The 13,358-nt window shown below is 38.8% G+C and overlaps 1 long non-coding RNA gene across 4 annotated transcripts in view; it reads right to left on the reverse strand.

Annotated features, from left to right (window-relative positions):
• Window positions 1–13,358, reverse strand: part of LOC105369715 (uncharacterized) — a 182,759-nt gene that overhangs the window by 129,417 nt on the left and 39,984 nt on the right. The window contains exon 4 of one of the 4 annotated variants that reach the window (XR_931476.1): window positions 2,309–2,387. The exons of the other annotated variants lie outside the window; for them this stretch is intronic. This is a non-coding gene — a long non-coding RNA (uncharacterized LOC105369715). Of the gene's footprint in view, window positions 1–2,308; window positions 2,388–13,358 lie in introns of those variants that run through there. 4 annotated transcript variants of the gene reach the window in all.

Below are 13,358 nucleotides of genomic sequence, written 5' to 3' on the forward strand. Positions count from 1 at the left end.
TTCCTCGAGTAGAGGAACTCCCCTTCTCCAGACCTTTCTCAAGTCTCACAGAAGCATGTGTTTCATTTTGTCCTGTTTCCTGTGGAATTTTCCATCAGCAAGGACACAGAAATAGGAGGTTAGAACTTTCTCTGTCTGCACCTCCATGCTGAGGCCATCATTCTTGAAGGCAACACAAGGGAGGTCTTTTGGTCATTTGCAGCTGCTTCAGCTTGAAGGGCCCTGTTTGCCTTTTCCTGGGTATCAAGCCTTGGGATTTGCACTTCCAAAAATGCCCCTCCTGCCATCTCTCATGGTCTTCAATCTCTAGTTTCACCTCTTTGAGGCTGTCCCCTTTGCTCCCATAGGTTCCCATCCTTACCCCAGTTAGAGTCCCTACACACCATATCCAAATCACTGGTTCACTGATTTCCCTCAGCGGAATGGAAGTTCCTTGGGGTCATGATCTCTGTCTTCTTCACTGTCCTATCTCTGACACCTAGCACAGCGCCTGGCACTTCGTGTGAGTTCAGCAAATAATATTTCCTTTATGAATGAATGATTATTTCGTATTAACTGTTATCAGCTATTGAGGATCTGAGGAAGGAAGGATCAGAACTGGTAGGTGTTATTTTATGGAATAGGGAGAGGATGGTCATCAGGGAAGATTCAGGACACAAACTGCTATTAACACTAAAATCAAGGAGGAGCATTGCATCAGGTTTGGGGAGTCATAGGGCTAGGTTAGTGCAGAAAATGAGGTATTCTCCATAGTCATAGGATACATGGTGCCTGTTGTGATGGGGAGGAGGCAGCATGAGAAGGAATGGAATAACAGAAATCAAGAAGAAAATACTAGAAACAAATTTTAAACATAAAGTATATATATTCTCTCTGTCTCCCTATATAGGTATATATATAATATATATGAAAATAATCATATGTATACGATTATTGGCTCATGTGATTAGGAGGCCAAGAAGTCCCATGATCTGCCATCTACAAATGGAGAAAGCTGGTGGTATAATTCAGTCCAGGTCTGAAGGGAGAACTGGGGTTGGTGGTGGAGGTGGGATGTGCTTGTGTAAATCTTGGAGTCCAAAGGTCCAAGAACCAGGAGCTCCAACGACCAAGGGCAGGAGAAGATGATGTCCCAGCTCAAGAAGAAAGAGAAAATTTGCCCTTCCTCTGCCTTTTTCTTATATTCAGGCCCTTGAATGACTGGATAATGCCCATGTACATTGTAGAGGGCCATCTGCTTTACTCAGTCCACAAGTTCAAATGCTAATATCTTCTGGAAACACCACAGATACACCCAGAAAAAATGTTTTGCCAGCTATCTGGACATCCCTTAGCTTAGTCAAGTTGACATGTAAAATTAACTACCAAATTAGTTAATTTAATGAGACCATGTTTCTTAGACCTTTTACAATAAGGTAAGAACGATGGCAGTTTATATGTGTCATGCCCTGCCCTATTCTAAGTACTTTTATACATTCTGTTATCTTTATAACTCTGTGAACTATGTACTATCATTTCCAAATTGCAGATTAAAAATGGAGCACAGAGAGGCTGAATTATTTGATTGAAGTCACACGCTGGTAAGTGGTAGAACTGCAATTCCAACCCAGGGAGTTTGATTCTAAGTCTGTTCCCTGGCGCAGACTGAGATAGTCACAGTGGGAAATATAAAAGTAGATAATTTTGAGAACTACATGGGAGGAAAGAGTTTGGAATTGCTGTTGGTTGGATTTGAGGGGGCAAAGTGAAAAGGGCAGGCAAGAGGGAAGGATAGTTAATAAGAAAGAGGAAAAAATGAAAATGTTTTATTTTTGTTTACCTGGTATTTTGAAGATTGGAGAAAAAACATTTTCAAATTCTGTCATCTTATTTTACTCCAAACAAACGTAAGGGAATATAAACTATGACTGTAACTGGCTGGATACAGCAGTCATCACTGATGCTAGGAGATAACAAAACTAGCTTCTTGCTAATAAAAAATAAAGCTCCTTTCAGCTATGATTATAAATATATACTTTTACTTACATTGGGCATAGGTTAGGTTGGAAAATGTCCTCCTTTCCCAAGCAAAATAAGTAATGAAGTTTAACATCTTTTACCTTTAAATAACATATGGATTAAACCTTGGCTCCTCTTTTTACTAGCTTTGTTAATTTGAACAAGTTAGTTGCCTTATTCTTCATGGGATTTCATAGGTTAAATTTACAATATGTAGAAATCATCAAGTACAATGCTCACACACAGTAATTGCCCCCATAAATGGTATCTATAATTAGCAATAGCCAGCTTGATGAAAGCCAAGTACTCTGTTCTTGTGGTCCTTGTAGTTCTTGCCAGTGGAAGCGCATCACTCACAAAGTTGAAGGGGGGCCTTGTGGCTGTCTCTCCTGAAAATGCATCAGACAGTGGGATTTTTTTGTGTGTGTTCAAAGAAGCTCATTTGAAAAGGCTGAAACTTTACCCAAACTTGGATTTTCTCCAACACAAAGGCTTATGCTAAGGTATTCAGTAAGATTGCATCTAGTATTGCCAAACAAAACCACTTCACATAATTAGAGAGGCCTTGGTGGAGCCTTATGTCCCAGGAATGGTTGAGTGGGTTTATAGTTTGAAACAGAAGAGAAACTGAAGTAGGGCTTCACCCAAAATATCATCTTCACCCAAACGGTTGACACTTCTGCTACTTTTTTGAAGTGGCTCATGAAAAAATTGGCAGGTAGCTCCTCAACATGCAAGTGGGTGGAATCACTGACATATAGTACTGCAAGCTATTGGGTTTTGTTCATCATGTCTAATTTGAGGTATACTCATCCTTCAAATTTTAATTCATGCTCACAAATAACCTTGAAGACTTGGTTGGACTTGCCTGCTCTTTCACAAACCCTGACCTTGCTTCATTTGTATCACCTGCTATCTCATTACCTGAAACGGACTCAGAGGTCTGTGCCCCAAATTTCCATCTCCCACAGGGCAGGAACACTGCCTCACCTGTTTTTGTATCTTAGTGGTTACTTCATAGAAGTAGTATTAATAGCTTCTATTCTTTTTTTATCATATAGCAGTTCCAAATATGATTTCATTTTATGTTTCTATGAGGTAGACACTACTATGACCCCAACTTACGTATGAGAAATGGAGGCACAGGTGGCTAAGCTAGAAAGGAAATTCAGGTCAGGTTATCCCACTCCAGTCCCTACATAAACCAATGCACTAGATTATACTTCACAGCCTGTGTGGATTAATCCTCACATTACTCTTCCTGAATAAAATAAGAGGGCTTGAGAGAGTAAGTTTACTTAAAGTCTCAGGACTTGGAATAAAAGAAAAAGATAGGTTTAGTTTCTAAAAATATTGATAACCTTGCTCTTCACATTATACAAAATTCTTTCATTTGCTCATAAGCAGCCTTTTGGGTTACACATTCTCTTTAATCACATTATATGTAATGGTTGGGTTTCTACAATCAACTTTGGACTTACTACATATTTCCATCACAAAGAACAGAACCATACTAGGTGCAACATTGATGAGATATCTTTGGATTATTGGCATCATCTATGGAAGATTTGAATAGCAATCATTAATCCTTGACATAAAATGTGGCTTGCCAACAATTCAGTCCCCAAGGCATGGCTGCTGTTAGACTGTGGGTACCTTTATTGAGACAAGAGTCTACCATGAGACAGAACTATCGTAAACTTTCTTTTAAAGGCAGCAACATGTAAAATATGAAAGAAAATCTTAAGCAGAGCCTTAAAAAGGTTGAAGTACTGAATGTCAGCATATCTATGTTTACTGAGTGAACTCGGTACTGGATAACCTGAGGGAATGAGGCCATTAGAGTCTTTGAGAACTGAATGGAGACCTACAGTGTGATAGAGACCAGACACAACCCATGGCAAAGGGCTGGGAGAGTCATCTTAGGTGATAGGCCCAGCTGAACCCCTATCACACTGCTTCTCCCACTGCATTCCTAAAGACTCCTTTCATAAAATCTCAACAGTCATTAAGAAATAGAGCTGGTATCTGACAATACATGGAAGGAGCTGCTTTTCCACCCACTTTAGAGAAATGGCTACATGTGACATAGAGCAGAAGATGATGAGGACAATAATGATGATGATGGTGGTGAGTGTTCACTGAGTTCTTACTATGTGTCACTTACTCGCTGGTTTAATTACTGTCACCCCAGCATTTGTAGGGTCTGGGGCAAGAGTAGAAATGGAGGTCACATGACCTATTTTGGTCTACTTCAAAATTATTCATCAAGATAAACAGTTATAAACTACGTTCTGTTTTCCTATTTGACAAATATTCCTTCATAAAAACCTGAAAGGCCATGAGTCTGGGAGTTATGCCTTCTCACCCTCCTGAAAGCTCTGTATAGGAGTGTGGGAGCACAGGAAAAGACAACCTCAGTTCACCTCTTTCTCTTCCCACTCACTCTGTGCAACTCTGCAAGGGGACATAAGTGTGTACAGGTCAACATCCAAGTCCACAAATCCAAACACCCTTGCTAACTGCTCCTCCTTCAGGAGGAGAGATGGTCGCACAGGCAGGGTAGTCAGCTGATATGGTCTGGCTCTGTGTCCCCACCCAGATCTCATCTGGAATTGTAATCTCAATTGTAATCCCCATGTGTTGGTGGAGGGACTCGTGTGAGGTGATTGGATCATGGGGGCGGTTCCCTCATGCTGTTTTTGTGATAGTGAGTGAGTTCTCATGAGATCCAACAGCTTTATAAGGGGCTCTTCCCCTTTCACTCTCACTCTGTCTCTCTTCTGACACCTTGTGAAGAAAGTGCCTGCTTCCCCTACCACCATGATTGTAAGTTTCCTGAGGCATCCCCAGCCATGCGGAACTGTAAGTCAATTAAACCTCTTTTCTTTATAAATTACGCAGTCTCAGATATATCTTTACAGCAGTGTGAAACAGACTAATACATCAGCCCTCAGGAAGCCAGATGCAAAAAAGAAGCCTGCAAAGGCTCTGAAGCAGATGTAAAGGCATTAGGGCAGGAAGCTAGAGTTCAGGTGCCCAGAACTCGTTCTAGAAGGAGTAACATGAACATGAACTGGAGGATGGGGCAAACAGTTTTTTGACACCTCTCCACATTTCCTAGATTTCTCACCTTGGAGGAAAGAACACTACTATGGGAAGGTAAAAATGGTTCCCTCTGAATTCCAGAGCCCAGGATGAAAACCTCATGCCCGGGTCTGAAGTATACTGGCTTTATATGAATCATCTAATTGAACATTTTACTGCTTTTAAAATCCCATGAAATCTCTACTGTTATTATCCTCTTACAGATGAGAAAACTGAGACATACAGGAGCTCAGTAACTTGCCTACTAGTGATGGCATCTGATAAGGGTAATCTGACACCAGAACATGTCCCATAATATGCTGTAACTTAAGAACACTGATATAAAATAAAAACTAGATAATTTCTTCAAAACCACTGCTGTGGTTAGAATGTGTCCCCAAAGTTTATGTGTAGGAAACTTAACCCACAGTGCAACAGCGTTGAGGGGTGGGACTTTTAAGAGGTGATTGGCTTATGAGGGCAGAGCCCTCATGAATGGGTTAATGTCATTATTGTGGGAGTGGGTTCATTATCATTAAGAGTAGGTGTGTTATAAAAGTGTGTACAACTCCCATCTTGTGCTCTCATGGTCTCTTGTCTTTCCACCTTCTGTCTTCTGTCAGCAAGAAGGCCCTCACCAGATGGCAGCACCTAGATATTAGACTTTCCAGCCACCAGAACTGAGAAATAAATTCTTTATAAATTACCCTATCTGTGGTATTCTATTATAGCAACACAAAATGGGCTAAGATAACCACTGAATTGAGATATTGTTTAAAGAAATCATAAGTCATATAAAATAATTTTTACTCAGATTTGAAAATATCTTGGCAAGTTTCACGTTGCTTAAAATCCTAAAATAAATCAGAGATTAAGTTGCTTCTCCAGTGCAAAAGATCTTTCAATGTCAAGTTCAATCCAGACCTCGTCAGTTCAAGGTATTTGGAGAAGCACTCTCTCTTCATCCTTAAGGGCAAGGCAAAGTAAGGCTTTCTTTAGAAAATAGAAATTCAAGTCAATAAGAAACAACGTGTTTTTCTGGGAGATGAAATCAGAGTTCAGCTGGTCCTGGTTATAAAGAAAATGCTAGGATGCTGACCAGAGCCTTCCATACACAGCACAAATGAACCACTAACATGCAAGAACCAAAAGACAAGCTCTGGTTGCCAAGTGTTTAGTTTTGCCCCATACTGTGAAGATGCATTTAAAATATATTTTCAAAGTATGTTTGAGAAACACCACTGCAGTCCGAGGGAGTGGAGTGATCCCTGGCACATAAACATAATCATTCATTTGCCAACTAATCGTACCTCTAATTTTGGATATGTTCTTATTGACAAGCTGCACAGAATACAGTACTTAAAATAAATAAAAATACTGTGCTTTCCTTTCTTAAACTTTTATGATGCACAGCCAAAGATGATGTATCAAAACAAGCAAATTAGCAACATTTGACTCTTCAAGTTAGAATAAAACAATTTTTAAGCCAAGTTTTAAAACCTGTCATTTTAAAACTTTGTGAGCATTTAATTACTGTGTAAATTGTACAAATACACTTCCATTAATTACTCTCAGATGTTTTTAAGTGATAAAAGAACACTACTTTCCATTTTAATTTATATAAACCACTTTCTAATTTCGGTTCAAGTATTTCAAATTTTTATGGTTTCGCTATGGCTTTCCTTTTTGATTTAATTACATGCAGCTAAAATATCCTTTTTTTCTACTAAAGAGTACTGGAATTCTACCTTTTTTCATGCTAAGAAGTTCACAATCTGCTGAGAGTACCTATAAATAGCATTAATGATATGAGACAGATACAGTACTACCATTTTATTGTTTAAAAAACAAATCAGTTAGGAACTGTTCCAGACTAAAGAGACACTTCAAATATATGCAATATTTGATCCCAGCCTGGATCCCGTACCAGAGTGATAAAAATGCTATAAAGGACATTAGTGAGTCAATTCATAGAATTAGAGTGCAAATGGCATGTTAAAATATCACATGTGTATATATATAAAGGAGAGATCAGGCACATGTGTGGGAGAGTTCAAATGATAAAGAAAATGGAGTTAAGTATTAGCAAGAGGTGAATCTGGGTAAGGGGTATATGGTTTTCATTTTACTATTTTTATTCTTGCAACTTTTTGATAAGTTGGAGATTATTTCTAATAAATAGTTTTCTAAAATGGCAGGTTATAAAATTTTTTTCTCAGCACTTTTTTCCCTGGAAAATTCTTTCGTGGATTCACAAGCTTAGTTATGTAACTGTAAATAAATGTTTAATATTTACTGCCCTTGGCTTATTACAGTCTTATTTGGTTCCAGCTGAGTCTAGGGAAACCTAAGAGCCTATGCGGCAGCAGGCTTAGCTGGAACATTGGAGAAGTCAAGGAGAAGTCGTGCTTGGGGAGAAAGAGGCCAGGCCTGGCTTCCCTCTCCCCCAGAACCTTTCCTCCCAGCACTAACCGTTGGAAGTGCTGAGTCTTACTGCACCGAGAGGCGGCAAGTGGTTTGCACTTTGTCAGTGCTACTACATGAATGAGTGAGTGAGCAAATAAAAGAACAACTGCAAGAACAATAACCAATCTTTTAAGTTATTTTATGTAAAATGTAGGCAATTGACTTTCACTTCTGGGAAAACAGAATAGACATACTTTTTCCTATTCCTACTGCTAAACACAACTAAAAAGCCCAGATATTATAAATAAAACAAATCTAAGAAGACTCTGAAAGGTGGTGAGATAAAGGCAGAATGACTAGGAATTTTGGGACTCAAGGAGTGACACAGTGGTGAGATCTCTGGCTTTTCTCTCTGCTTTATATATCCCAGATTTGGAAATAGGAAAGTCAGCAACTCAAAAATGCCAACAAGGATGAAAAAAAGAAAAAAATAAAAAGCCCAATGAAAGCCTGCTCTCTCTAGTTAAAGGACAAGGAAAGAGGCAGCCAGATAAAACAGAAAACTTTTAGCCATTGCTCTACTCTAGCCAAACACCACAGGAAAAAAAAAAAAAAAACTGGCCCACCACCCATGCCAACAAATGCCAAGTGGAGAGTCTAGACTTTAACCTTCTCTGGGCTGTTAGGAGCCGATTCAGTTTGCCCCCTACCTGACCTGCCTCCCATTGAGGTGGTATCAGAGAAGGCCAAATAGGGAGCTGGGACATTTATCCCCTCTGAGTGACAACAAATCCTGTTTTTCCCCTTACCTCCTATGTCAGTGGAGACCACATGCATGGGGAGGCTGGGCTTCTACCTCCACCCAGCAGTAATGAGGCATCTCTCCGTCTTCCCCCTGGGTGGAGTCAGGAGAGGCCTAATGGAGAGTCAAGAGTTTTCTCACCAACCAGTGGACATGAGGCAGCCCCGACTCATGTAGTGTCAGGCAGGCTACAGGGGAGCAGTAACCAGGCACTCTTTTTCCTCCCAGCTAGGAAAGTGTTAGTGGAGACCTAGTGGGGAGTCAGGAGTGCCACCTCTACCCAGCAGTAACGAGGAGCCTTCCACCATTACCGCATTGGGTATCAACAGAGGCCCACTAGTATATCTGGAATTCGAATCCTACCTGGCATTAACAAGATGGTGCCCCCACTTCCCTTGTCAGAGAGGTGTCAAAGGAAGACAGCTCAATCTGAAGGTTGAAATAAAATCCAGAGTCTTACAACATAATACCCCAAATATTCAGGTTCAATAAAAATTACAAATCAAATAAAGAACTGGGAAGATCTCAAAATGAGTGAAAACTGACAACTGACAGATGCCAACACTGAGATAACAGCGATGTCAGAAGTATCTGACTAAGATTTTGAAGGAACTATCATTAAAATGCTTCAGTGAGTAATTATAAACATGCTTCAAGGAAATGAAAAAATAGAAAGTTTCAGCAAAGCAATAGACAGTTTCAACAAGGAAATACAAGATGCAAATAAGAACCAAATAGAAATTTTGGAACTGAAAAATACAATAACTGACAGAAGAAACCTCACTGGATAGGTTTGAGGAATGGAGGGGACAGAGGGAAGAATCAGTGAACTGGAAGGTAGAAAAATAGAAATGACCAAATCTGAAGTTCAGAGGAAAACATAGACTGAAAAAGATGAACAGCCTCAAGGACCTGTTGGATTATTCCAAAACATTGAATATTCATGTCATTGGGTTCTGGAAGGAGAGGAGAAAGAAGGTGAAGCTAAAAAGGGATTTGAATAAATTATTGCTATAATATTTCCAAATTTGTCAAAAGACCTGAACCTATAGATTGAAGAAGCTGAGTAAATCCAAAACATGATAAAAACCAAAGAAATTCACACCAAGGCATATCAAAAACTTCAGAAAACTAAGACAAAGAAAAAAACTCTTGAAACCAGCCAGAGGGAAAATATGCATTACCTATAGGGAAAAACATAATTTGAATGCCCTTAGATTTTCCATCAGAATCTACGTAGGCCAGAAGGAAGCAGAAAAACATGTTTCAAGTGCTGAAAGAAAGTGCAGAAGGAAGTAGAAAAACATGTTTCAAGTACTGTCAACCTACAATTTTATATCCACTGAAAATATTGTTCAGGAATAAAGGGGAAATCAAGGCATTCTCAGAAGAAGGAAAACTAGGACAATTTGTCACCAGCAGATTTGCACTAAAAGTATGGCTCAAGGAAGTTTCCTAAACAAAGGAAATGATAGAAGAAGAAAATTTGGGACATAGGAAGAAAGAAAGAACATGGTAAGCAAAAATATGGTTAAATAAATAGACTTTCCACACTCTTCTTGAGTTTTCTAAGTTACACTGAAGCAAAAATTATAGCACTGTCTGATATGGTTCTAAATGTTTGCAGCTACAAGATCTATGAGTTCGCAGCATCTATGCAGAGGAAAGCAATGAATTGTCTGATGAACTTGAGAAAAGAAATAAAAAAAAACTTCAGAGGGAAAGACCAAACTAAAAGGAATACATAGAAAATGTAAATTTAGCCATACACATACACATACACATAGGTATATACAGATACAGAGGGTGATCCAGTGGACCTCAGAACAATGAAATTGTATACGAAGTCACTTAAGGATGTTTTCAATAGAATGGCTGTTTGACAAGCCTGAGCTACTTTTCCTGCCCAGGGAAGAACAAATGGCACTGTGAGATATCAGACAAAGCATCCTGCTCAAATCTTCTACCCGATTCCTGGGCTTCCTACTGTACCTATGACCTGCCCCTTTTAATCCGGGACTACTTAAGTCATTTCAGAAGGCTCAGTCTTGTACAGTTCCCAACAAATATGCCTTATACAGAGGATCATAGTCTAACTCAACACTCTAGATAGAGCACCACTCACTCTCTTGTGCAGTCTGACCCTGGTCTGGAGCCTCTGCTCAGTTAGTTATTAGGCATTAGGCTTCAGCCTGGTTGTGGAGTCCACCTCATGACCTTGTATGGACAGATAGACATCTAACCTGTTCTTGTGAACTGCAGCCTCTTTTGGTAAGCCACCTGTACTGTCCTCTCTAGAAGAGGGGCATCTGACATTGCTTGTATTGTCCTCCTCAGTGGCCAAAGCCCCATCTCCTCCTGAAACATATTCCTTGTTGCTGCTTGTCCATGTGAACGTCTAAGCATTGCCTGTTCCTGCTGCTTATAGGGACACCCCATAACCTCACAGTGGAGGCTCCACACCAAAGCTTCCTGACCACTGTCAGGCCCTCCAGAGAGCCTATCTTGTGGCAGATGGATTTCCTCTCTTTCCTGCCTCACCTCAGAGGAAGCATCGGATTCCAGATCCATGCCTTTCCCTTCTGAGTCCATCTGGCTTAATCTAATCAAACATAGGCAGACATGTCCAATGTATGCAGTGGGGAAATCCCACATATTCTCGACTATATTACTTTGTATAACACACATACAGACACACACAAACACACACAGATACACACACACATTGAACTTTGGAGATGGAAGGGGCCTTAGAAGTTAGACAAAGTGGTGGTTCCCAGAATTTTAGATTTTCCACATAAGTAGAATGAAGAAAAAAAAAAAAGAGGAAGGGCAAGGAGAGAAAAGGTATTTTGCCCTAACAAGGGACGTCAGATTTTACCATTATTTAATAAGAGAAAGGGCATTGTTAACAACGTAGGATAAACAATCTCAGAATGTAAAAATGACATAGATAAACTTTATAAAAAATTCACTATATTGTCTTTTTCTTCTTGTTTTCATATTTCACTTGGTCTCACACTCCTGAAAACTTTTTCATAGCCTAAAAATGTTACTCCAACCAGCAATGGGGAGTCACTGAGCAAGGCCAAGCCTCTTGTTTCATAGATGAGAAAATGATTCATTTATTCAGGATTACTAAACAACCAATGGCCTACTGGGGCGCACCGATTTCTAGTTCAACGTTTCTTTTACTACATTTGCTAAATTCGGTTTCTGATCATGATAATGATTTCCATTTTGGTGGTGATATCAGCAACAACTATATTTAATCTCAATTAACCATCTATCTCCTCCAAGGATTGTGAAGAATCAGGGGTTCACATTCATCATTTATAGAGGTCTCACCAGAAGAGGTCTTGCATTTCAAGTAACAAAAATAGTGTGACTTCAACAGTAACATCCCTGATTATGTATTGTAATAAATAGATACTGCAGCATTGTTTTTGTAGAGATTCTTATTTGGTAAAAATTTGCTCCTTAAATTGATTACCAAGGTTTGAAGATTTTCTCGTAACTAAGAATAACAGAGCTCACTCTTCAAATTTTTCCATGTCTCGTGTGCATGAATTTAAAAACTAAGCAGTCAAATGGCATCTCTTTCTAAGCTTATAGCTATTTTTAATTTTTCTCTTTCTCTAGCAATATTATCCAATTTCTACTCTCATATTCTGTGTTATTTTTGATTAATTCTATCTAGAGATGTTGTTTCAGTTTTTCTCATTCCAGTCTATTTTTCCATTCCTCTCAGCCATGTTTTCCCAAAGTAGCTTAGGAATTTGCTCTTTGGCACTGAAGTGAATAAATCACCCTTAATCTGGCATGTGAATGCATATCTGATCACATTCTATAATTTTACTTTGAGAACCCTCATCAACTATTTCTGCTTCATTAATCCTAAGAAATTTTGGACATTTAGCACAGTGTAATGTGGGTTTTATAAAAGACAAAAAGAGGCATAAATATGTAATCTTAGCATAAGAATAAGAGAACAAAGTTTTGGAAAGAATAATCCAAGCCACAAAGATTCCTGCCTGTTCAAACAGGACACTCATAATTCCTGCTCTTTTCTTTTTGGTTTTAGAAAGATACACACAACTCTTGATGAGAAACCAGTTTGCTCACTAGCAAACTTTGCCACACAAAACCAGACAACATGAGGTTTTGATCACAAGACTGTTGGAAGGATCAAGTTTTGATCACTTCACAGAGTTGAAAGAAATTAAATATTTTACTAAGTTTTACAATATAACTATACAGGTTAAGTGAACTATATAAATTAACTGGATAATTTCCAAATATAGTTTGGAGGTTAAGGAATTTGGCATTAAACAAAAATAAACATTCCAAGTAGGCTATGTAAGAGTGGTGGCACTAGGCAAGTTACTCGACTGATCAAAGCCACACTTTTCTCTTCAGTATTACCTACCTGATAGAACTGACCATAACAATGGCAATTATAATTAATGAGCATTTATGGAAACTTTACTATTCTAGACAGTGTGCTAAGTATTTTAACCCTCAAAACACCTCATTATGATGAGGCTTGAAGTCATTATCACAGCTGGTGAAGCTGGGGTTTGAATCTAGAACCTCTGACTGTAGAAGCCATGCTCAAAACACCCATTAAAATGGGTATTATTTGAGGTAATGAACATAAAGTGCTTAGTATTATATCTGACATTATAAGGGCTTAGAAAAAGTTTGTAGTTATTTTTAATATCAGAATTGTTTGAATTATACAAAAGAAAATTAATATAATAACATTTTAAGGGATATTATAGCTTATTACGTGTTCTGGTTAAGTGTTGACAACCTGACAGCCACTAGATTCCTTGAGGACATGCACTGAGTGCCATTTTCTTTCTTAGCCCCAAATTCTAGTACTGAGTGCCTATTTTAGAGTAGGTCTATAAATATAAGTTGAAATAAAAGTTTTCAGAATGGTCATAAATATTTAATGAAGTCCACATTTAATCTATCACAAGCATCGAAACTCCCAAAGAAAATCTGGGCATTAGCAGCTGGCCTAGAACAAAAGTCCCTGTCTCCTTTCGCCTGTATG

This window comes from Homo sapiens, chromosome 12 (assembly GCF_000001405.40).
Source record: "Homo sapiens chromosome 12, GRCh38.p14 Primary Assembly".
NCBI classification, from domain to species: domain Eukaryota; kingdom Metazoa; phylum Chordata; class Mammalia; order Primates; family Hominidae; genus Homo; species Homo sapiens.